At 46.8% G+C, this 26006-nt stretch overlaps 1 protein-coding gene across 8 annotated transcripts in view, besides 2 other annotated features; it reads left to right on the top strand.

Annotated features, from left to right (window-relative positions):
- CLPB (ClpB family mitochondrial disaggregase) overlaps positions 1–26006 on the top strand; it is a 149037-nt gene that overhangs the window by 95559 nt on the left and 27472 nt on the right. For all 8 annotated transcript variants that reach the window (NM_001258393.3, XM_005274320.2, NM_001258392.3 and 5 more), the window contains 2 exons: positions 9169–9266; positions 21753–21867. In NM_001258393.3, coding sequence (NP_001245322.1) covers positions 9169–9266; positions 21753–21867 — 213 coding nt within the window. The remainder of the gene's footprint in view (positions 1–9168; positions 9267–21752; positions 21868–26006) is intronic.
- Positions 23389–23890: an enhancer, noted in NCBI's record as "H3K27ac hESC enhancer chr11:72026127-72026628 (GRCh37/hg19 assembly coordinates)". NCBI's record gives its function as "activates a minimal SCP1, AML or CMV promoter by ChIP-STARR-seq in primed H9 embryonic stem cells {active_cell/tissue: H9 hESC(primed)}" and the evidence as "EXISTENCE:reporter gene assay evidence [ECO:0000049][PMID:30033119]".
- Positions 23994–24288: a silencer, noted in NCBI's record as "tiled region #1135; K562 Repressive non-DNase unmatched - State 14:Gen5'". NCBI's record gives its function as "represses a minimal TATA promoter and a strong SV40 promoter by Sharpr-MPRA in K562 cells {active_cell/tissue: K562}" and the evidence as "EXISTENCE:reporter gene assay evidence [ECO:0000049][PMID:27701403]".

Genomic DNA, 26006 nt, shown 5'->3' with positions numbered 1-26006 from the left:
CATGTGGTACTGGCATCCAGCCCACATTTCTCCATTGTGACCACAGGATTATCCTGAGACATCCCATCAGATGTCTCATGAAGTCCACATTTGGCCTAATTGTACCTGATTGAGCAAATAGGTCATCCTGATAAAGAAAGGAGAGGTTAGTCTGGCATGACTTGGCTTCTGCGAACCCATCCTGATGCCTAGTGATCATCATCATTCCTTTTCTAGCCATTCACAAAGCATTCTTGGTCATACATCTGATTGTGGAGACAAGACCTATGTGTGAAAGTCTGTGATCAGGTAATAACTCTAGCGGTTCAAAGGAAGAAGTGATCTGTAGGCTTGAGTGGCCTGGAAGAGCTTCAGGGCAGGGAAGATGAACCCGAGTCTGCAGAACATAAAGTCTGAGTGATGGGCAAAGATGAGTTTGGCACCACAGAAGAGAACAGTGGTAGCCCAGTATAGGCCAGTCCTTCCAGTGGGTGCTAAGGAAGTGAAAGCTATGGGGTGGGCAGAGGCTGAGACAGTGTAGGTGGAAAGAGCCCTGGACTAGTAGGCGTGGGTTCTAGCTCCCACTCTCCTACTCATAGTCTCTGTGACCTTGAGCTCTAATTTCCTTTCCCCAGGCTTCTCCACTTCTCCAGTCCTTTTTTGTTTAGTGCTCAGTGTAGTATCTTCTGCTCTTCTCCAGCTGGTGCTGTGGTTTCCCACCTCCTCAGCTACACAATGCCTAGCTCCCTTGTACCAGGGGGGTAGGGGGAAGAATCATCATCTTCATCTCACTCCCCTGACATCCTCATCTCCTCACTCCCCTGTAGTATAATGACATTATTTCTATCCCTCTCTGTCTTTCACTACTCTGAGTTCTGCTCAAGGGCAAGAACAAGTCTGATTCCATACAGTGGAATGGGGAATGTCTGGATCCATTCCATTAAAACTCTCTCTGTTCCCTGAATGTTAGAAATCTGCCTCCCTGAAGGCAAGGGATCATATCAGAGCATGTCCACTGGGGGGTTGGGACTTGTGGATGACCTTCTGAGAGGTTACTTAATGTGTGTCACCATTCCCCTGGCCCCCAGACAGGGAAGCCCTGAATGGGAGGAAAGGGAGCCTCATCTTGTCCCCTTTCTACAAAGCTGTCTATCCCAAATCTACCTCTAGAAATGCCCCTATCTTAGCTTTGGAGCATCTGAGCACACTGGAAGAGAGGAAAAAAGATGAGTTTTCTCTCTTTTTGAGTCATCAGGCCTTTGGAAGGTAGCATTTTGTAGTGGAAAATCAGACCTGGCTTCCTTTCCTAAAAAAATACTTTTTATTATGTAAAATATCAAACATGTACAAAAGAGAGAATAGTATAATAAATCCCCATGTTAAATCCCAGCTTTACTATTTATCTGCTGTATGACCATGGGTAAATTATTTTAGTTTTCTGAGCCTCTACTTTCTCAGAATCTTTGTTTGATGAATAATTCAGACACTGTATATAAAGGCATTATACCCAAAAAATGTTAGCCTGTCACCTTTCCCCTTGCTCTTCTGCTAGACTCAGTTAAATCATCTGTAAACTAGAAAAAATAATAATGTCTCCTGCTGTCTTCACCAAATTGTTAAATCCATGGCCGTTGTCAGCACAGGCTATGGCACATAACAAGTGCCCAGTAAGTATTTTTCATTACAGGGGCAGGGGGGCGGGGGCATATCTGCAAGTGTGAATGTCTGTGTACATACGTATGTTGAGCAGGGCTCAGTGGTGTGGTTTATAGAAAAAGCTCAAGATATCAGAAGACCAGAGCTCTATTCCCAGTTCTTCTGTGCTTCCTGCAGCATTCTCAACAAGTCTCTTCTCTCTCACCTTCAGCCTCTGGGAAAGTAGAGGAGAATTGGCTCTGACTTGAGTAGCCCCATACATACTGGATGTGAAGACTAAACCAAGATATGAAAGTGGCAGGCCAGGACCCTGAGGCTGAGGGCCAGGAAAAGGAGTAAGTAGGGAGGACACTAGGAGCCCAGAAGGGAGAGCACTGATCACTGGAGGAGGAGAGAACTGGGCCTTGAAGAATGGGCAGGATCTGGGTAATCGGAGAGACCACAGGTGGGGACAGAGTGGAGCTGAGCGTGGACACAGGGAAGGTGCATGGCTGCTCATATGTGGTCATCCTGCCACTCTCTCTCTCAATGTTTCCTTGATGGGGAGCTCATAACGGAAAAGAATGGATCAGTCCACATTGACATGTCTCTGATCATGGGAAGGATTTCCCATAATCAGAAGTTTCAACCAAAACTTCTAATTTGAGATAGTCAACAGACTGCTGAAATAGTGACAATGAGGATGAAGGTGGTAAAGCCACTAGCAATAAATATGGAAAGCAAGAGTGAATGTAAAAGTTATTACAAAGAACATTGTACACCTGTCTAATCCTTCTTTCCAATCATTTTTGAACTTGTTAATCTAATTAGTCCTCACAAAGCCCTTAGTGGTAGGTGGTAGGTAGGGCAGCAGTCATTATCACCAGAGAAGTAGAGCAAGTGCCCTGGATCACACAGCTGGGAGAGGCGGCCCCTCACTGGCTCCCCAGCCCAGTGCTCTCAGAGGGAAGGGCTGAGTCATGGGAACTGTAGTGGAATCGTATCACTAGAAGATCAGTGTGCTGACAGAACCGGGGGTGGGGAGGGGCATGAATGTCAATGTTAATCATAATAGGCCGACACATTTATATAGGGCATTTACTGTTGTTGTTATTGTTGTTGTTGTTAAGCCCTCTTATACACATTATCTTATTTGAGGTAGGCAAGGGCCAGGACAGAGTAGTGTCAAGGGAGGAGGGAGTGACAAGCCTCCTCCCACCCCCTCAGCTTATGAGCTTTTCCCACCAGCACAGAGAAGATCTGAATCCCACCTCCCTAGGTGGGATTCAGCACTCTCCCTAGGAAAGGCAGGTGGGCCTCTCTCTCCAACCACTTCTTCCCCACTTCGCACCTACAGAGCATAGAGGGTACCGGGGCCTGACCTGACCTCTTCTGCCAACCAGGCAGAGAGGCTTCTGGGACCAGCAAAGAAACTGGGGACTTTGGTCTATAGGAAAAAGGTACATGGTTTTGTATTGCTATCATAAAGGTTCTCCTGGGGCAGAAAGAACAGCCATGTTCTGTGTGGCCTCAGAAGATGGCACCTGGAGAGAATACGGTTCAATCATCTGGCAAATATTATTGAGCTCCCATCCCATGCAAGGATATATAGCAGTGTATCAAACACAGTGTCTGGCTTCTAAGAACTCTCAGTCTTAGATGAGACAGACTTTAATGCAGGGTGGCCAATGCAGTAAGATGGAAGCCGAAAGACCTATGGGAGCAGAGAGGATGGTACCCAACCTGGGGTGGAAGGGAAACAAGGAAACCTTCCTGGAGGAGAAGCTAGGACTGAGTCTTAAAAGATGAACAGGTGTTTTCAGAACCAAGATGGAAGTGGGGTTGGTGAGAGAATCTGGGACTCATATATGAAAAATCTGCCCTCAGTTAAATGGGGGACACCCCTGGGAGAGCCATGAGCTTGGGGCTGGGTACTGGGGACATTCAGAGGAGCCCGAGTGACCACCCGTTTGAGATGTAGTAGAAGGGAGTATCTTCTTAGGGAATTGGAAGAACTCACCATTTTTCCACTTGGAGAGTCAATAATTGCGTCAAATCAAAAGCAGGTACTGAACCAGAGAAGAGGAGTGGGCTCCCTCAGCACCAGTGAGCCAGGCCTTCACTCCCACCAACACCATTGCCACTGCTTTACCTTGCCCTGGGTGATGAGGTCCAAACCAGCCATAGTGGCACCAATCAGCATCAGCCCCACGACCACCCACCCCCCCACACTACTTTCCTGGCCTAGGCCCTATTGACAGATCCCCCAGAATCTGAAGGAATTCAAGACAAATGGTTAAGAGGATGGAGTTAATAAAATTTGAAAAATTGAGGCCTGTCACTCCACTAAACTTTTTTCAATACCACTGACAGAAACATATTTCCCCAATGAGTGACCTTCCACAGCTGTAGCGGGCAGGCGCAGCCGCAGCAGTGCTGCCAGGAAGCCAGTCTGCTATTTATCAAATATTATAAGCTGGGACACACTAATCTGGAGAGGGAGAGGAGGGGAGGGGTCCTGTACCACACTGCCTGGGGTGCTCCAGGTGTTTGCCCCAGCCCCAGACAGCCAGTGGGAGGTGACGGATGACCTGCGATTAGCATTCCCCACCTCCATCCAGCCCTTTCACTTGCTCCCAGAGGCCTGGCCCTCTAGACCAGCTGCTTGGCCCGAAGGGGCCCTGGGTGGGAGGCAAGGGGAGGTCAGGCCAGGGCACGGGCCATCCTGATGCCCCTGGAGAGGGCAGGCGGGTGAGGCCCAACGTGGTTATTTATTGGACTGTAATGGTTTGTGGCCGTTGGTCGTGGAGGTGAAATCGATCAGTGGTAGAAGTCAGGTTCTATCAATTATTACAGCAATTAGTCAAGTCAGAGCGAGGGTGCAGGGCTGGGGTACTAATATTAGATGGACACTATCCATGGTACCCCTGCCTCAGCCTTCCTAAAGTGGGGGCAGACATGCTGCCCTGAGGCTCCAGAACCTTGGGGAGCCTTCTCCGTGAATGGTCAGGTGGAGCCTGACCTGAGAGCCTCCTGGGCTGGAGACAGGCGCCGTACTGCTTTAAAAGGAGCCCCTGTGCTGGCTGGCCCAGGTGCAGAGATGTCCTACCTGTCCCCATCCCATCCTTTATGAGAAGTGACACGACTCCTACTAGAAATTACTCAGTGGCCAATGTTTATGGCACACATTTTTCATTCTGTAAGCAAATATAGATCACTGACAGCACTTGTTTGAAGAGGCTAATCTCACTCTGTTCGTTCTTCCACTGTCTTCCTCTGTCACCTTCTCTCCTCTTGCCCCTCCTCTTCTCTCTCCCATTTCTTTCTTCCTATCCAAAGCAGAAGCTCTTCTCTTTGCCATTCTTCCCCTTCCAGAGGTCTCTCCCTAACCCTCCCTTCCACTGCAGCTCATATCTAGTGACAGAGCTCCCCTTGAGGCTAAGAAAGGACAGACCTTTCCACTGCTTCTTTGCAGCTCCCTTTCTGCCTCCGTTGTGGTTTAGCTCTGCGGGGAGGGGAGGATGCTGTCTGCCACTGGCTCCTCAGCCCTTGCAGAGCCGCTCAGTGCTGAGCGCCAGAGAAAGCAACTCAGTGGGGCTGGGCCAGGAAGGCTAGGCTAGGCGAACAAGTCCCTGAGCACTTTGTTCCTTCCTGAGCCCCCCAGTGCCGCCTGTCCCTCCTTCAGCACACTGATGACACTCAGTCTGTGACCTCCTGTCTCCATGAGCTCCTGGAGAGGTGGAATTGTGCTGGACTCGAACTCTAGGTAGCACCTAATAATCTTAAAGACAGGAAGAGGAGTCTGCAAAAGAAACAGAAGAAATGGTCACAAGAGTGGGAAGAAAACCTGAAAAGTGGTTTTATAGAACTCAAAGGAGAGAGTGGCCAAGGTATCAGTTGCTACAGAACAGTCGTGAAATATAAAGAGGGAAACTATTCATTGGCTCTGCCAATCCTTCATCATCCTGCACACAGAGGCTTGCAGATATAAAGTGCCCAGTAAGTGCCAACAGAATGGAAAGAAAGGATGAGGCTCTGGCTGAGCCTCTAAGGACTTGCCCAGTAGTTAGGAAGACCACAGACACACTCCTTCCTAGGGAGGTTGCACTTTGTCCTGAAAGCAAAGGCCAACTGAAGGCTTTTTCATCAGGGGTATATTGTGGCTGCCCTCATGAGAGTAGAGAATTGGAGTTAGGAAAACCTGGGGGTGGTTTTTACTCCTAGTTCAAGCAAATAAAGCTAGCTTTGTGGCCTTGGGCTAGTTATTTCACTTTTCTGAGCCTGTAGCTTGGGGATTTTAATTCCCATCCCTCAGAAAGTACCGAGCACAGTGCCTGGCACAGAGTAAGTGCTCAATAAATACCAGTGTTACTATTATTACATCATGACTCCAATTATCTGCCCAGGAGACATGAAAACATACATCTACACAAAGACTTGTGTGTGAATGTTCATGGCACTGTTTATATAATAGCCAAAAAGGGGAAATAGCTTAAATGTCGATCATCACCTGATAGAAAAACAAAATGTAGTATATCCACAGAATGGAGTATTATTCAGCCATGCTACCACATGGATGAACCTTGAAAACATTCTGGTAAGCCTGAAAAAGTCAGACACAAAAGGCCACATATTATACAACTCCATTCATAGGAAGTATCCAGAATAGGCAAATCCATAGACAGAAAGTAAACTAATGGTTGCTGGGGCTGGGGGTAGGGGGAGTGTCTGATAATAGATAGGGAATTTCTTTTGGAGGAGGGTGAAAATGTTCTGGAATGGTATATTTTAAACCACTGAATTGTATACCTCCTTTGCTTTCCTTTTTCCTTTCCTTTTTTCTTTCCTTTTTCCTTTCCTTTCCATTTTTTAGACAAGGCCTTGCTCTGTTGCCCAGACTGGAGTGCAGTGGCGTGATCCCAGCTCACTGCAGCCCCTGCCTCCTGGGTTCATGCAATTCTTGTGCTTCAGCCTTCCGAGTAGCTGGGATTACGGGCATGTGCCCCCATGCCTGGCTAATTTTTTTTTTTTTTTTTTTAGTAGAGATGGGGTTTCACCATGTTGGCCAGGCTGGTCTCGAACTCCTGGCCTCAAGTGATCCGCCCACCTCAGCCTCCCAAATTGCTGGGACTACAGGCATGAACCACTGTGCCCGGCCTTGAATTATATACTTTGAAAGGTTTAATTTTATGGTGTGTGAATTGTATCTTAATAAAAAAAAATATATTTATCAATATTCTGCACTAAATTCCTGTTAGAAGATAGTACTGTGTAAAAAAAACTTAGTTTTTTCTTACTGATAATAAAAGTTTCCTTCACCTGGATTGTATTTCCTATGGCCTGCCCCTTCCCCCTCCACCTCCCACATCGCTATAGAGCTTTAGCCACTTCCTCTGCCTCTCAGGCAGACAGCCACATGTAAATGCTTAATAAATGGTTACTGTTGTTCATAAGTTGATAGGGTCTTTTAAGAAGTAGAGACTGTGGCTGGGCATGGTGGCTCACACCTATAATCCCAGCACTTTGGGAGACCAAGGTTGGAGGATCACCTGAGGTCAGGAGTTTGAGACCAGCCTGGCCAACATGATGAAACCCCATCTCTACTAAAAATACAAAAATTAGCCAGGCATGGTGGCACATGCCTGTGATCCTAGCTATTCAGGAGGCTGAGGTGGAGAATAGCTTGATCCCAGGAGGTGGAGGTTGCAGTGAACAGATATCACGCCACTGCACTCCAGCCTGGGCAACAGAGTGAGACCCTGTCTCAAAAAAAAAAAAAAAAAAAAAACAGAAAAGAAAAGAAGAAGTAGAGACTTGTGGCTGGGCACAGTGGCCCACGCCTGTAATCCCAGCAGTTTGGGAGGTCAAGGCAGGAGGATTGCTTGAGCCCAGGAATTCAAGACCAGCCTGGGCAACATAGTGAGACCCTGTCTCTTAAAATTTTTTTTTTTTTTTGAGACAGAGTCTCGCTCTGTCGCCCAGGCTAGAGTGCAGTGGCGCGATCTCTGCTCACTGCAAGCTCCGCCTCCCGGGTTCACACTATTTTCCTGCCTCGGCCTCCTGAGTAGCTGGGACTACAGGTACCTACCACCACGCCCGGCTAATGTTTTGTATTTTTTAGGAGAGATGGCGTTTCACCATGTTAGCCAGGATGGTCTCAATCTCCTGACCTCGTGATCACCTGCCTTGGCCTCCCAAAGTGCTGAGATTACAGGCGTGAGCCACCACACCTGGCCAAAAAAAATTTTTTTGATTAAAAAAGTTTTATTAAAAATTTTTAATTAAAATTTTAATAAAAAAATTTTTAAAGTAGAGACTTGCAATAGGAATACTTCTGTATCATGATATAAATGTTTTCACATACTGGATTGAGAAATACTGGTTTTTACTGTACATCAACAGTGGCTGGACACCTACCCTGAGCCATGCCCTGTGCTAATTGGTTTCCCAGCCAGCCCATTCTATCCTATGGCAGGGACTGAGTCTTAACCTTCTTTACTTCAGACAGTACTTCCTGAGCAAGAGAGAAGCTCAAAAAATACTAGATAATTATTACCTTAATGTTCTGTGTAACACACATTTATTAAGCATCTGCTGTGTACAAAGCAGCTTTCTAATTATGTTTCTGTCTTCCTGCCCTTCCCTAAAGGGCAGGGCCAGATCTGATTCTTCTGCATCCTCAGGCCCCATTCATTCAGGGTCTGCCGACTTGAATGGAATGGATGGTTTTCGAAGAAGAGAGTGAGGTGCTTACACATGGGCTTTGGGAAGGCTGTGACAGCACAGAGTCAGAGTGACCTTTCCTCCATAACTGCCAAGGCTGGCACAAAGTAGACACTTGATACAGGCTTGTCAGCTGCCAGTACTTAGAGAGAAGGTAGATACATGGCCCCAAGCTAACCCCTTCTTCTTGTCATACTCAAAGTCTTTGTCCTTAAGTCACAGGAACTAATGATTGGAGGAAATACCCAGCCACATGCACTCACCCACCAACAGCCAGAGTGGCATAGACAGGTTGCTGGTGGTGCCCATGCCCTTCCAGGGGACTCAGCTGACTCAGACAGACAGGAAATGCCCAGAGGTCAGAGAGCATAAAAGGAGAGTAGCAGAAAACAAAGAAGGGGAACCATTTAATTGTTATTTGGGATATTCTCTGCCTTAGAAAGGAACCCTTTATATGGCTTCATGAATGAATGTTTATCTGTATGCTGATATGTTGGAAAATATGGACATTTTAATGAATACATGTATGAAATTGTATGTTTACATGTATTTGTGCTGCGGTATATTAACCTGTGTATTTGTTTGGCATACTTTCTTAGCATGTTCAACTGTGTGTGTTTGTGTATGTATAACACATCTACGTGTGTGTAGTATGTTATCGAACATGTGTGCATGCACATGTAGGAGCCCCAGTACCATGTTTTTCCACCATTTGTAGGTGTCCATGGACATTCCCAACATAGAAATCAGAGCCTTAAGCCACCTCCAAGGGAAGGCTGAGGTCCCACTGATCGTTCATAGAGCCTCTGTTTATCCTTCTTCTCTTGCCAGGAGCCAACCCCCTGCAGAGGAATGAAATGGGACACACACCCTTGGATTATGCCCGAGAAGGGGAAGTGATGAAGCTTCTGAGGACTTCTGAAGCCAAGGTAAGTCTCAGGGAAGGGAGGAGGCCTGTGGGTACTCCATGCATCATTTAATCCTTCACTCATTAAATTATGTCAGGCTTTACACCAAAGGCCACTTCTCCTTAGGTGATTATTATCTGTTTAAATACAGATATTATCTGTATTATTATCTGTTGATTATTATCTGTTTAAATACAAATCCAGCCCCCAGTCTCATCAAGAATAGGAAGCTGCCCCTATCATGACCAGGGAGCGGCCTTGGCCACTTCTGGCTTCTGAGCATTACCTTTAAATTTGGTTTATGAAGTGATGGATCTCCCAGGTCCTTTTCAGAGGAGGGGGTTCTAGCCAGACAAAATCCTTAGCCCAAGCAAAGATTTTGGTCATATTTTTCCTAGGCCTCATGTATTCTACAGTCTCATCAAACAATCTTTTCTTATCATCATTCTTTCTAGAACTATTCCTTCACCCCTCCCCTCCACACACACTCCAGAAAGCCTAGTATAGAATCTGAGCCAAAAAACCCTCCATTCTAATTCTGTTTTCCCAACCAAACTTTTGAACTCCTGAAAACAGGGCTAAGTCTTCCACCTCTCCCAGCCACAGAGCTGTAACTCAGGAACTACTGGACAGAATCCAAGAACTAGAATCACAAATCTGAGAGCTGGCAAGGACCTTAGAAATCAAGTCCAGTGATGGGAAATCTTACAAAAACATAAGCCAATAAATCAGAGGAAAATTGAGTTGTTCGAGTTGAAGGAGAGAGATGGACTAGAGCACTGCCCACGTGGCCTGCCCTTCACTCCTGCCCTTCACTCAGCCTCTGAGGGGACTCTGCTGTTGCCACAAGTTTCAATCTCTGAAACCTAAATCAGCTGACTTATTTTACTCCTGGAGAAACTGGAGCCCAGGGCTGTGATGTGGCTTGCCTTTGGTCCCAGAGTGAGTTAGCATCAAAACTGAACATAATAGGCTTGACTACAGGTCATGTGGTAGGTTCAGTGGCAGGACGGGGACTGGAAGACCTGGTTTTTGACTTTTGTGCCCTTTCCAGCCTCATGGAGTCTGTTATCCACAAATTGGCTGAAGTACCTTGAGATGATTCAGTGTGGCAGGTCCCACCTAGTGGCAAATATTCTCTGTCTTGAGTCCAAGCACTTAGCTCCCTGGACTGAGACTGAAGAGATGTGGGTTCTGATCCTAGCTTCACCACTCACTGCCCATGTGACCTTGGGCTACCACATCCCCTCATTAAAGCTCAGTCTTCTGTGATATGAAAACATTGTACTAAATGGTTTCTAATGTTCTAGGCAACATATGATTGTCTATGGATCAGTCAGGATAAGCTAGATTATGCTATTGTAACAACCCCAAATTTCAGTGGTTTAAAACAAAACAAAATAAGATTTATTTTTGCCTTATGTTGCATGTTCCTTGTGGTTGTGGGTGAGGGGCAGACTCTGTTCATCCTAGGCACTTAGGGATCCCAGCAGGCAGAGCAGCCACCCACTGGAATGTTGCTAGTTGCTTGCCAGAGGGAAAAGGATGCTCTGAAGGGTCTTACATCTGCAGTTAAATGCTCAGCCTAGAAGGAGGATCCTTTTCTTCCACTCACTATTCATTGGCCAGAACTAATCCCATGTTTCAAACCAATCATAAGGGGGGCCAAGAAGAGTGATCCTACCATGTGCCTAGAATGGGAGAGCTGGAAATATTTGGTAATCAACATGAACCATACAGAGTTTGCCTCCCTGGTATTTTTAGTAACTGTTTTGCAGTAGTTTCTTCTGGAGAAGGGAAGGAATTAGGAAGGGTGACTAGCTTTTCACAGCCCATCCCCGGGGGCCCTTGTGACCAGAAAGAACTACTAAATTTCAGAGGGCAAATGCTTCTTTCCTTTTGTTCAGATTTTTCTGTCCTAGGAGCAGGTCAGGAGGTCAGGTCAACTTCCTTAAGTGCCTTAAGGAAATCCCTCAGCACTGTTGTGCATAATCTTAGGGACTGCATGCTCATCATCAGCTCCCCTTTCAAGCCCAGTGGCTTTTGCCTGAGAGACCAGCCCTAGACTTGGCCAAGAGTACCTGTAGCTTTTGAGCTTGTGTGACATAGAGCAGGTACTGGTCTGGCCACTGAAGCAAGAGAACAGGCCCCTTAGTGCCAGCGCTGGTGGAGGGGTTAGGCCCACTGAGGGACCCTTCACAAAATTTAGCTGCCCAAGGGAAGTGGCTTGAAGTTGGCCACATTATTACAGGGCTAATGTCCAGAGTGAACAAATGGCAGTTGCAATCCCCTGTGCCAGTCAGACCCTTCTGGAGCATGGAGGGCAATTACAGACACCATATTCGAAGTAGACATTGATCTCTTAGAATCTGTGCAGAAAAGGGCAGTAGGGTGGCAGGAGGAACTATGCCATGAGAGAAAGCTGATGGTAATAGGGCATCTGGCCAGAAGAGGAAGAGCATAGAAACAGCTCTGAGTGAGAGGGAGTGAGATTTATTCCATGGCAGAGCCAGAGTGGCTAGGCTTATTGGGCAGCAGCTTCAGGGAAGAGCCCCTAACACAGCTGTCCCACCATGGAGGGGCTGCCTTAGAGGCTAAGAAGACCACTTGGAGCCAGTCCAGGGATTCCCTAGCTCTCAGCTGGAAGATCATTTCATCCGTTGTCACTCTGTGCACTTGATCCCTTCATCCAGTCTGGACTTTCTCCATTCTGAATGTGTCCACTGAGCATCTCCACCTAATTGCTTTGCTGTCCCATCAGATTCTACCTATGTGAAGCACCCCTCAGCCCTCCCTGGATGCCAACGGCATTGGCTTTCTCTGAGTTGTTCAGCATCTACTTGGTCACCCATTCATTCTGTTCTGCATTTTTCCTCCAAACTGCAAAAAGCTTCCTCTTCAAAATTGTGAGGCAGGCTTTTGTGGGAAGAACACCATTTTAGACCTGGTTTCTTCTCCCTCTGCCAGTAAGTAAGAAGCAGCTGCCTCTGAGTTCAGGCCCTGCATCTGTAACATAATGACTCAGGCCTGGAGGCTGCTGAAGCTCCAGCCTGGGCCCCATCTCCTGGCTCTTTGTCTAGACATGGGTTGCTGTCACTCTGATCTTATCTGGCTCCCCTTCTCTCTGCTCAGCATCCCCCTGCCACCCTGCTCAGCCTCCTCCACCTCCACCTACCACTCTGTAGTCAAATTATGCTCATAGAAAACTTGTATTAAAGTTGTATGTCCCATTATAGAAGTTTTAGAGATACAGAAAAGTAAAATGAAGAGAAATAAATAATATAGTACATATTTATGAATGACATCTATGTGCCAGGTTCTGGGCTAGATGGGAAGAAGACTGATGAGTAAAACACTCAAGGAGCTATAGTCTGATAGGGAGACAGGCAAGTAAACCATGACACCACTGAGTCATCAGTGGTATGACTTATCAAGGAAGACTTCCTGGAAGAGATGACAACTGAGCTGAATTTAATTCAAAGACTCTAGCCCTCCTACCAAGACATAACCACTATTAATATTTTTAATTAATTATAACAATGATATATACTGTTTTTATCAAATGCATCTAGGTAGTGTGCCAGGTGCTCAAATACATATTTTTCTAACCCTGTAGCAAATCTGTGAAGTAGTTCTTGTTACCCCTGTTTCAGATGGGAAAACTAAAGCTGCAGGAAAGCAAGCAGATGATTTACAGAAAACCAAGTTGTTATAAGTGACTATTAGGAATTGAACAATAGGTTTCCTCTTATGATACTGTATTAGCCTTCTCTGGATCATATCTATGTATAGTTATATAGATGGCCTTTTTTGTAAAAAATGTGGTTGACAGTCCACCATATATACCAGGAGTCTCAGACTGGCAGCCGCATTTTATATAGCCACCCAGAGTTTTCCAAAAATGTGAAGGTAATGCCTTGGGGATTGGGAGTGTGCACTGTCCAGCCACAGGGCCCCCCATTCCCTCTTATATTATGTCCTCGATTATCAGACACTTTTGTTTCCTACTTGGCCCTGAAGGAGTTACAATCCTATTCTATATTTGGAATTTGGTTTTTATTCACTTAATATTATTGGTGATTTTTCCATTTAAAATTATCCATAAGCCTAATTTTTTATTTAATTCTGCCCTTTAAAATGCATCATTTACCCTAGAATCTCTGTCACCTTAAGTGGTCTGAATGATGTGTCCCTCACTGTTGGCTTCCTCAGTTCTCTCAGCATTCTGTGCGCCGAAGCCTCCTTAGGCCCCCTGAGAATATCCAGAGGTGATGAGGCCCAGCCCCTGTCCCTGAGTTTGCCATCTGGCTGGGGGAGAGGCAGGCACTCTTAGCTCTGATACCTGCAGACTGATTTGTCTTAGGAGGGTTCGCAGAGTTGGTAGAGTCTCCAAGAAAGCGTGGATCACCTCCTGGCAGAGAGAGCAGGGCAGGCTTCAAAGAGGAGGTAGCCTGTAATCTCACCTTGAAGGATTTCAATAGATGGAGAGTTTAATACTTAAAGCCAGGACCATTTTCATGTCTTAACTAAGAGATGAAGGAGAGGTAGAAATATATCTCTGTTGACATGATAGCAGATAAAACAAAAATATGTGGAGCTATCCCATGATGAATATTCAGCTGAGGGGAACGTGCTCGTGCCAGCCTGCATCTCCACTCCCAATCCTCACTGCACCGAGACTCACGAGGAATTTATTGCTCATTTTAATCACACCCAAAGAATGCATCGGCAGGAATATTAGGCAGATAGGCCTATCCTATATATTTTATTTGCATATCCCAGTGACAGGATCACAAGCACATTTCCTATCTATATTTTTTCATTTGCTTCAGGGGTAGCTGGGGATGTGATGCTCCCCTGGGCCCGCATTCCAGGCTGAGAGCCTGGGTGCTCCTCTCAGAGCTGAGTGCAGCCCTACAGGAGGAGAGAGGGGGAGCACACAGGAGGGTAGGAGGATTATGTTCTTCCTCCCCTTGGCCTCACTCAACCCATTCTCTGCTTTGCCTCTCATTACAGGTGCCAGCTTGCCATGTGCCTGGCTCTGTACTTGGCCCTGTGGCTTACTATGGTATGGGCCAGATACAGTGCTAAGTGCTTTTTAGGGACCAACTTTCTCTTTCCCTTTTTTTAACTTTTATTTATTTTTATTTTTTTCTTTTTTTTGAGATGAAGTCTTGCTGTGTCGCCCAGGCTCGAGTGCAGGGCACGGTCTCAGCTCACTGCAACCTCTGCCTTCCAGATTCAAGCGATTCTCCTGCCTCAGCCTCCCCAGTAGCTGGAATTACAGGGGCCACACCACAACTGGCTAATTTTTGTATTTTTAGTAGAGACGGGGTTTCACCATGTTGGCCAGGCTGGTCTCAAACTCCTGGCCTCAAGTGATGCACCCACCTCGGCCTCCCAAAGTGCTGGGATTATAGGCATGAGCCACCATGCCTGGCCTTTTTTTTAACTTTTAAAAGCTTTTTATTGAAATATACTTGTATAAGATACACATATCAGGAATGTATGGATCACTGTATTTTCACATACAAGACACACCTTATTAAGAAACAGACTATTAGAAGCACCCCAAAAGCCTGCCTCAGACTCCCTTCCAGACTCATCCCCCAAGGGTAGGCATTATCCTGATATTTTTAACTTTTATTTTTGCATAATTTTAGAGATAGTACAATTAATTCCTATAAATCCTTCATCTAGATTCCCAACTATTAACATCTTATCATACTTGCTTTATTATTTATGTACATAAATAATACATATAAGGATATATATATAATTTTTTTCTCAATGATTTGAGAATAAGTTTACACATGATGCTCCTTTACCCCTAAATATTTGTATGTATTTCCTAAAAAAAGATGACATTTTCTTACAGAACCTCAGTATAATCATCAAAATCAGGGCATTAATATTGATATTAACTAATCTACAGATGTTATTCCTATCTCACAAGTTGTCCTAATAATTCTCCTTACAAGAAAAGACAGTTTCAAAATCCAAGTTGCATTCGGTTGTCATGTCTCTTTAACCTTCTTTAATCTGGAATGGTCCAAACGTTATGATGTGGAAATCAAAAAGAAAAATAAAACATAATAATTTGGAATGGTTCCTCAGTCTTTCCTTGACTTTTATGACCTTGACTTTTTTTTTTTTTTTTTTGAGATGGAGTCTCGCTCTGTCACCAGGCTGGAGTGCAGTGGTGTGATCTCAGTTCACTGCAACCTCCGCCTCCTGGGTTCAAGCAATTCTCCTGCCTCAGCCTCCAGAGTAGCTGGAACTACAGGTACCCACCACCACGCCCAGCTAATTTTTGTATTTTTAGTAAAGACGAGGTTTCACCATGTTGGCTAGGATGGTCTCGATCTCTTGACCTCATGATCTGCCCGCCTCGGCCTCCCAAAGTGCTGGGATTACAGGCATGAGCCACCACGCCCAGCCGACCTTGACATTTTAACAAGTGCAGGTTGGTTATTTTGTAAAATGTCCCTCAATTTGGGTTTATCTGCTGTTTCATTGTGATTAAACTCAGATTATGCATTTCTGGCAAGAACACCCTGTGGGGTTTATTTTCAATAAATGTATCAAGTTGCCCTTTACTAGAAGCATTAATACTTCTAACAGATAGAAAGTTTCTGTTTTAAGTCTCATCTTCCTAAACAGACTGAACTCCCTGAAGGCAAGTCTTTCCTTATCTCCAGGTGGACGGTGCAGGCTTTGGAATCAGACTACAAGGGTTACTGTTCTGTCTCTATACTCGCTGCCAGTAGAACCTTGCTTGAATGTACTTAATCTCTGTACAATGGGGATGATGATACTATCAACTTCATAGGGCTATGAGGATTAAAACACCCAGTCCCAAATCAGTGAGTGCTAAAATTAATGAGTTGAAGTTTGAGGAGTAACAGGATATTTACACAGTGTCAAAGTCTCTCCCCACAAGATACTTTTTAATTACAAAGGGAAAAAAAATAGTGAAGAAACCTGGCAGCCGCCACCTTAACCTAGTGATCGAAGTTAAGACTACCAGTTATGAGATAAATCAACATCACACGTCTCTGATATGATGCCTGTAGTAGCCTGTATTTATAGAGCCCTTACCAAGCTTCTCCCATCGTTCTTTCTCCTCTCCTCCAAATAGAATATATACATATCAAGTATTTTTCCTTCTCTAGTTTACTCCACTGGCTAGCCTTTCACAAGGCTGGGCACATGGCTCATGTCTTTAAAATTTAGTCAGTCATTGCCGGGCGCAGTGGCTTACACCTGTAATCCCAGCACTTTGGGAGGCCAAGACGGGTGGATCACCTGAGGTCAGGAGTTCCACCTGAGACGAGCACAAACTCATTTTCTCACTTTAGCCACTCTTTGCCCCTCAACCTTCTCTCATCAGTCTTGTCTCTGATCCACCTAGCTATTTGCAGAGGAGTGACATGATCAGATTTACATGTTTAAAATATTGGCTTTAGCAGCAAAAGGAGGATGGACTGGAAGAGAGGAGAATGGAATCTGGGATGCCGACCTAGTGATTACCAAGTGTGAAGGGGCTGACACCTGCTTTGTTTTCGGCCTTCCTCTACAGGGATGTGTCCTTTGTGGACTAGTTTAAGAGACTTTCAAATTCCTTGTGTGCCTCTCTCATCTCCCAGTCTTGTGTTCCCATCTGCTCTGCATCCCCTAGACTTCTTTGTTGGCACTCCTGGGCTCCTCTTTTATCATTCCCCTCCACCAGGCTTTCTCCATCGTCATCCCCACCCCCACCATCTCATCTGTTACCCCCTTGTTCCCTTTGTTGACCTCCCTTCCCAGGCCTCTATGTCATACCATTTCAGGACATGGTAGAAGCCCCGACTGTGATATGAGTCACCATCTGAGTCAGGGATTCAGGAGTATGGGGCATACCCGAGTTTATCTATGAGTAGCAGGTGGACTCTATAGGCCTGACCTCCCCTTGAGAGGCAAACTGCAGCTTGGCCTCTCTTCTCTTCCCCCTCCATACCTACCTTCCCATTCTTGCCCAGGGTCTTGTTCTGCCTACTCCAGCTGCCCCCTCAGTGAACACACTGGCAGATTCACTGTCAGACCTCTGCCCTGAGGGATGCCCAACAGTTGGGATGCCTGCCATATCCCTTCTGTAACCCTCCCCCGCAGAGCCACTCAGCCCAGCCACCCACCTCTAAGCAAAGCGAGCCCAGCTAGGCTTCGCCTCGGCCTCCCAGCCCTTTCCTGTAAATGCACTCACAGCCAGGAGGGGTGCCATATTAAATCAAGACTGATGGAAACCAGTGACTGCAATTACCCAGCCAAGATGCAGCATGGGAAGCTGGTCGCTGATGGCTCCAGGTGAGGGCTTCTGAAGCTAATTGTGTGTGGCTTTTATTAAGAAGATGCTCACTCCCCGACTCCTGCTCTCCTGGGTGGCTCCTTTACGGTGCCTCTCAGCTCAGTGCCCTCTGCTTCTGCAGGCTGAATTCCTGCCTTCTCTTCTTCTCTAGTGGATCCCTATCAGAGCAGAGCCTTGAACTCGTCTTGTAGCCTTCCTCCCCATCTCCTCAAAGACAGGAACAATAGTATTTATAGAGCCCTTACCAAGCTCCTCCCATCCTTCTTTCTCCTCTTCTCCAAATAGAATATATATATATATCTCAAGTATTTTTCCTTCTCTAGTTTACTCCACTGGCTAGCCTTTCACAAGGCTGGGCACAAGTCAATCATTGCCGGGAGCGGTGGCTCACGCCTGTAATCCCAGCACTTTGGGAGGCCAAGACGAGTGGATCACCTGAGGTCAGGAGTTCAAGACCAGCCTGGCCAACATGGTGAAACCCCATCTCTACTAAAAATATAAAAACTAGCTGGGCGTGGTGGTGGGTGCCTATAATCCCAGCTACTTGGGAGGCTGAGGCAGGAGAATTGCTTGAACCCAGGAGACGGAGGTTGCAGTGAGCCGACACAGTGCCATTGTACTCAGCCTCAGCGACAGAGTGAGACTCTGTCTCAAAAAATATATATATATAAAATAAAAGAAGTCAGTCATTCATTTCATATGTTTTTTAGCACAAACTCTGTGCTAAGCATTGTGAAAAGAGCATGAAGCAGTAATCTTCTGCCTGCCTGGCTTAATCTCAGTGTCCTTTACATTTTTATCAAGAAGTCTGATCCATTTTCTGAGGTTTTAGTGAATTGGCATAGATATCTGGGACTCCAGGCTGGGGAGAATCAGAATGTACTGAAATTTAGGCCATGGTTTGAATCTTTCCCAAGACCATCTAGAAAGCTCCTGGAAAACTAACCAGTTCACGGTATAACTCTCCCCACCCCACCTGTCACCTCCATAGAAGTCAAGGAGTCCTTTCCTTTGCCCAAGAAATAAACAGGAATACCAAACAACCTAAAACCATGACACTGAAGAAGAGTTACAGGAAGTAGAAGTGTTTCCCCAGAGAAGACTCAGGGAGGCCACACTGGTCATACCCAAATCAACAAAGTGGAAAGAAAAGTTATGTTAGACTTTGCCTGTGGCAAAGGGAAAAGATACGTTATGTGAGGCCCCACAGACCAATGGATGGAAGGTACCCAGAGGTGGAATTCTCTATCACGTAAGGAAAACTGACAGCAAAGATGAGCCACCTCAGGCAGTGGAGGCACCTCTAGAGCCGGGTGAGTGTTGAGACTGCACCCTGCAGACCTAGGGTTCCTAGAGATGGAGCCTCGAGAGCCGCCTCTGGGGCAGTGGTAGCAACCAAGTGGACTCGGCTCATGGCTTCGGCTTGAGCCAGGGTAACTCTTCTTATTATCTGTGGAATTCCACCCACAATTAAATTAGTTAAAGGATTCCAGTACCAAAAACAAAAAGGCACTAGATTAGACAGTCTGTTATCAAAATGCAGTGAAGGAGAAGAGGAGTCACATTTATCAAAGGTTTAATAAGGGTTAGGTAGAAGGTAGCCATTTTGGTCACTCAGACTACCTCTTAATGCTATGTGCCAGAGACTCTGCTAAGAACTTATATATTAATGCATTATCTCATTTAATCCTCACCTTGTGGCATTCCACAAGGATCCTACAGGCTAAAACTATGAATACTATCCTGCGTTTTAATGAGGAAAACTAAGATTCTGGGAGCTTAACTTCCCCAAGGTCAGCTAGCTAGGAAGTAGATGAAGTTGAGGGGTGAACTCAGGTCTGTCTGGAGCAAAGCATATTTTTGTACACAACTTGCCTCACTGTGAGCCAAAAGAAGAGCCAAACCTCAGATGGAGACAGCTGAAAGAATTAAAGCAGATGCTGTGTATAAGGTGCTGAGTACAGTGCCTGGCATACAGCAGCCATTCCACAAACGGTAGTCACATTTATTCAGTTAGTAACACAAATTGACGCCTGCTGTGAGCCAGGCCCTTTGCTAGGCACTGGAACTATAGAGAGAAATAAACATGGTCTTGTAACCAGTGACCTCATGGTCCAGGAAGGAGAGACAAACAGGAAGTTATTTAAGTGTACCAGAGGTCCCAGGGTCTGGGGTAGGCACAAAGCCTTACAACAGACTCCCTAGACAGTACCACATTGGAGGTTGGTGGGAAGAGAGAAGACCTTTGTAGTAGGGTAATAGTGTCAGCAAAGGCCCAGAGGCAGGCATACTCTGGAACTCATCACTGAAGGGAAGTGAGGAAACTGACCCAACAAACCCTTGCAAGCCAGCTTCCATCCCTTCAGGCTCCTTCCATGGCCTGCCCGACTGCAAGTCAGCACTGTCCCAGCCAGTATGTATGCATCTCACCATCAGAGCCTCCAGCCCAGTGGACCTAAGTGCTGAGCGGGGCTGGGTGGGCAGGGAGGAGGAAAAAGCAGATCTATGGCTGAAGTCGGCAGAGCCAAGTGATGTATGTGGCGCCTGAGGGAGCTGCACAGTGACACTCTGGATTCCAACCGGCAAGTGTCACTCCACTGGGATTGGCGCCGAATTATTGCTCCATATGAAACCCCAGGACTGATGGGAGCTTTCAGTTATAGACTGATAGCAACAGCCAAAATTGGATTGTTTGCTATTTATTTTTTTTAACTTCTGTCAAGGTCACTACTGTAACAGGAAAACACTGCCCAAGCAGTAGGTATTTTTTATCCACTCTGCCCGCAAGAGCAATCTGCAACCACAACTTTTGTGACAGGGCCTGACTTTGACAGCTCTCTTTCCAGAAAGATGTTAGTGTTACAGGCTTGGGGGAAAGGAGCCTCCTGAAGACCTGGTCATTCCTTTCCATTTCAAGATCTGCTTCCTTCCCCTCCAGTTCCCAACCTCCACAAATACTCTACCATCAGGTCCCTGCCCTCACCCCTCCTTGCCTGTTCTCCAGACAGTCCCACGGCTCCCTCCTGGCCCAGTCTTCCTCCAGCTTCTTCAAGCCTCCTGTTCCCCAGAAAGCCCCCCAACAGATGTTCCACACTTATGTGTCTTTCCTTTCTCTACTCCTACACCACCCCATCTAGCTGTTAATTCTCTCCTCTTTGTCATTTTTGCAAACACTCACCAGATGCCCCACTATGCCAGGACCCATGCTAGAAATAGCAGTGAGTCAAAGATAGGGCCTGTCCTTGGGGAGCTCATAATTGATTTAGAGGACAGACTTATATTCACCAAACTTGTTTTCAAGTAGGTTTTTGTGTTTTTAGTGAAAGATACAGTGCTAGAGATAAACATTCATGCTTTGGACCCTTGAGGAAAATGGTTGCGAAGTATTTGTGTGCAGGCCATGCCTCATCTCCTGACTTTGAGCTGCCTGAGGGCAAGCCCGGGTCTCCTCTTCTGTGCGGGCAACCAAGCTTAGGCTTCTCCTGCTGCCTTTTGTGAAGTGGATGAAGCCCAGGGCCAGACATGCCAGACCCTCAGCATCAACTAGAACCTCCCAGGCAACGGGGCACAGTCCTCCTTCCTCTGCCCCACCCTTTCATCATGGCCATGCACAAGGCTGGGCATGCAAGAACTGCTGAATAATTATGTTTAATTGAAATGCAGCATAATTGAAATGGAGGGTGTTCATAGCTCTCTTTTGAGCAAAACGTTTTTCAAGAGGAAAGAGAAAGGAATTTATACTTATTAAGCATTTATTCCATGCCAAGCATGATGCTAGGCCTGTTACATACATCATCATATTAATATTTAATCCCCAATTTGCTGATGAGAAAACTGAGGTGAAATAACTTGCTCCAGGTGATAAGCACATCTCATAAGTGATAAAGCTGGGCTTGGACCCAGGTCTTCTGTCAGACTCCAGAGCCACGGTTAATCTGCTAGTAGTACTTACTCTACCAGCAGAGTGAGCCGAGACCCCTGAGCGGCAGCCACCTGAGTGGAGAGTGGAAAGGGCTGGACCAGCCTCCAGTGACCATGAACCACAGCTATGAAGCAGGACCCCTGGATACCCAGACCTGTGTTTTCCCCGAGTTGGGGGATAGAGTGAAGCTATGGTGCTATGGGCCCGGCAGCCCTCAACCATTTGCCCTCTCTCCCCACAGTACCAAGAGAAGCAGCGGAAGCGTGAGGCTGAGGAGCGGCGCCGCTTCCCCCTGGAGCAGCGACTAAAGGAGCACATCATTGGCCAGGAGAGCGCCATCGCCACAGTGGGTGCTGGTGAGTGTGTGGGACACCAGAAAGGGCAGAGTGGTGCCCTTTGAGGGGTACATCCTGTCGTCACCAAACTGGATAGGCGCTGTTAATAATATTAAAAATTAGCATTTGTTGAGTACTATCTACATGCCAGACATTGTTATAAGCTCTCTGCATGTCATGTGTCATTTAATCCTCATGGCAATCCTCTGAGGTTGGTACTGCTAAATCCCATTTTACTGCTGAGGAAGCCAAGACACAGAATACCTAAATCACTTGCTCGAGGCTGCTTTCCTATGCATAGAATTTAACTCTGACCGTCATCTGGTCCGCTACCCTCAACTCCATTTTTCAAGTGGGAGAATTGAGACCCAGAGAGGGATGGGAGCTTGTCTGTCACTAGCAATGTAGCAGCTGAGCCAGAACTTATGTCCCCATCTGTCAACTTGGGACTCTTCTGTCACTTCCAGATAGTTTGTCAGCAGCTGGCCTAATTTTATAGAAAATATCCTGAGCAACTTTTGAGTGTCTTCTCCACCCATGAAGCTCTTATTTCCATACTTTGATCCCTGGGAGCCAGACTGCCCTCTGGTGTAATCCCTAATGTAATGGCCCTCCTGCCTGTGCAGACCCAACGAGCAGATAATTAAAACTAAGGTTCTGCTGAATACAGTGGCCTCATCTTTGTTCTCCGACTCTGGAGCACCACTCCTTGGGCTTGATTTCAGATAGATGAGGCAAGGGAAGAGGAACCCCAGGCCAGGCCAAGACAAAGGTGTATCCCCCAACACAGTGGTTCTCAAAGCATGGTCTCTGGACCAGCGGCATCACTATCTTCTGGGAACCTGTTAAAAATCAGATCTCAGGCTTATTCCATACCTGTGGAATCAAAAATTCTGGGATCTGTATGTTAACAGGCCCTTCAGGTGATTCTGACACTCAGCTGAAGTTTAAAATACCACTGCCCCAGGAAGGCCCTACCTGGTCGTGTGGTATGCCTGGATTGAGGGGTTGGTGCTTTTTAACCTCCATTTGTAAGGAAGTTACTGCATCCACCTTGCTGAGAAGCCCTGCAGCTGGGGATCACAATGATAATGTTCAGAGCCATGCCCAGTCCTTGTGACTAGCTCCCAGAGGCTTCTAAACCCAAGCATGAGGGAATAAGGCAGCCCGGTGGTTGCAACTGCCAGCCCAGCTGAAGCATGAAGCACTCTCTGGGTCAGAACTTATGGTAGGCAAGCAGCACCCAACACCTCGGGACCTCAAACTGAAGCAGGTCCAGGAGAGTGAGGCAGATCTAGAGGCTAGGCCAGGCCTCCCTGAGTTCTCCAAGCTAGTGTCACATGTGTGGTAGGGACTGGCTGGATGGAGCCTGGCACCCCATGGGTACCATGAGGATGGGCAGCCAGAGAAGTGCCGCAGAATGAATTGATTTGATAAATGGCCATTTATTACCCTCACGAATTGGCTGAAACCAATTTCGGTCACATCAACCCCTGGTAAGTGCTGGGATATTGATTTGTGCAAAGTAATACAGTGAATTTATCAGTGTGATCCCCAGCTGCAGGGCCTCTAGCAAGGCTGGCGCACAGTTACCACCTTACAAACGGAGGAGATAAAGCGTCAGCCTCACAGCTCAGGCCCCCATGGCCTCTCTGGTCTAGGGCCACTGGAGCCAAACCAGGACAACCTGCAAGCCAGAGCCTTGGCATTGAAAGTGAGGCTCTCCTTCCAGAATCCAGAGCTGCTCTCGATCCTGAGGAAGGGAGGCTGCCTGCCCTGTTGGGCAGACTTCCTGGGAGCTCAGCACCTCTAAGCCCCACCATGCTCCTCAGAAAGGCAACCAGCTATCTATTCAGCACATACAGAACCAGACTCCTCCCCCTCCCCAGCCTGCTCATCTCCTGTGTTCTGATCTGTGTAGAGACCACATTCACTGGTCTCTTAAATAGAAACTCAGATGCTTCCTTGGCCCCTCCCTCCCCCTCACCCCTTACAGCCAATGAAGGATCAAACACCTGGCCTTTCCACTCTCTTCCTAATACCACTGCCCTAACTCAGGGTGTCCACGTCTCCTATCTGAACCAGGCAGCTCCTTCACTGGTGTCCCTGCCTCCCTTCCTTCCCCTAGAATCAGTTCTCACCAGTTGGAGTGATCTTTGCAAAACACGTATCTAACAGTACCACTCCTGTTTAAAACCTTTGCATGTTCCTTGCTGCCCTAACCTGGCATGCAGGCCTGCTCCTGCTGCTCCCTGCTTTGTGCTGCATGCACCAGCCACAATGGCCTGCCTCTGCCTCTCTGCACATACTCTGTCGATTTCCTGCCTGCATTTGTCTGCCACCCTCTCTGCTTGCAATCCTTCCCTTCTGGCCCTTCCCCCACCCCACCCCAGCCCATTGCCGACACACTGGCTGGTTTTTACTTAGCCTAACTCAGTTCAGGAGCAATTGACTGCAGGCTGCTTGAGGGGAGATAACATGACTTAATCGTTTTTGTGCTCCCAATTCCTGGCACAGCACCCTGCTCAAAGTAGATGCTTAGTGCAGTTTGTTAAATTAAAGAATTTGGTCTGGCCCCTTGTCCATCTCTAGGGAATGGCCCCAGAGCCCAGGCCCTCATGGGCTCTAGGATGTACCCTGAGGTAAAACAGAGAAGCTGCAACACCTGCTCTCTAGTAGCCCACAGCATACTGGGAATACAACTATAGAATAGCTTATTACAGCCATACTCCTTGACCTTTGACCCCTGGGGTGGGCAGGCTATTCCCCAGACCTGCTCTAAGAAGCCTCTCCTGGGCAGCAGGTCAGCCTGCACATACCCGGCAGCTTTCTCGGAGCTCCTTCTGACCAGGAACCTGTCCCGAGCTTCCGTCCACCTAGTCCCGGTTGACCCTCTGAAGCCACATGCTCCCCTGGGGAAGCTCTGCCACCTCATGTGTTCGGCTCTGCCAGAGTATGACGCATATTCCATATTACAGAAGGATTGCGTATGGCCACCACGGCACACCACCAGATCTCATGCTTCACTTCCCTCTTTGACCAGCCCAAAAACATAATCTTCCCAAGCTTTGCACCCTTCTGGACTCTCCCTTTGAATCCTCATCTGAGAAATACATCTAGGTCATCCCTGGGTTGTGGAGTTGTAGTGATTAACTTACAAAACTGCTTGCAGTTCCACCCCACATCATGTTACTTCTGAAGTCATTTGCTGTGCTTTCTCGTTGCTGGACTGCCCTGCCCTTCCACGTTGTCTGCTGAGACATTCAAGACCTAGGCCCTTTACTATACATTTAAAGCAACTGAAAGAGTATAATTGGAATGTTTGTAACACAAAGAAATAATAAATGCTTGAGGTGAAGGATGCCTCATTTACCTTGATGTAATTATTATGGATTGTATGCCTATATCGAAATATCTCATGTACCCCACAAATACCCATTTAAAAAAGAAGAGACCTAGGCCTTCTGCAGGTTGCCCTCCTCAGTCCTCCTGGATTCAGGGCTCGTTCCCTGGGATTCCTAGGAATACCTTTATCACATGTTATCTACTATGTTTGTATGTCTTTCTCCCTCCAAAAGTCCAGAGCTACTGCACACCAGCTCTTTTTCTGTAAGGTTGGGCACACAGGTGTATAAAAAGTTGTTGAACTCAGTGAATGAAGCCTGAGCTCACGCACAATGTTAGGTCTTGTAAGAAGCTACTACTTGCATTTTTAAGTTGTTAACCACTTGGCAGCAATAGTTTGCCTGCAGAAAGAATAATCCTTACTAAGGACTAAGAAGAGAGCTCTTTCATGATCCACCAAACCCAAGGCATCAGTATCCACTCAGTAGGCACCTGTCGAGTACTTACCATGTTCCTTGAACCTACAAGCAGTTGTCAGGCAATTGCTGATAAACATTTGTATGACTCTCAACCATGAGAGTCCCTCTGAAGGACTGGTTCCCACTAGGAGATGCCACAGACATGTGACAAACATGTTCCAGATTAGGTTATAAAAAACCTCCCACACTATATCCCTGGCACCTATCAAGAAAGGTAAGTCAGCCCACCCAGACTGCCCTAGAACCTTGAGCTGGACAGAAACAAAGGCCTGGGGTGGAAGGAGGAGGCCGCTCTTGCCTTTTTGGTTGTACACACACTGGGGCCTTCTTCCTGGA

This window comes from Homo sapiens, chromosome 11 (assembly GCF_000001405.40).
Source record: "Homo sapiens chromosome 11, GRCh38.p14 Primary Assembly".
NCBI lineage: Eukaryota > Metazoa > Chordata > Mammalia > Primates > Hominidae > Homo > Homo sapiens.
This window is presented reverse-complemented; position numbering and strand designations above follow the sequence as displayed.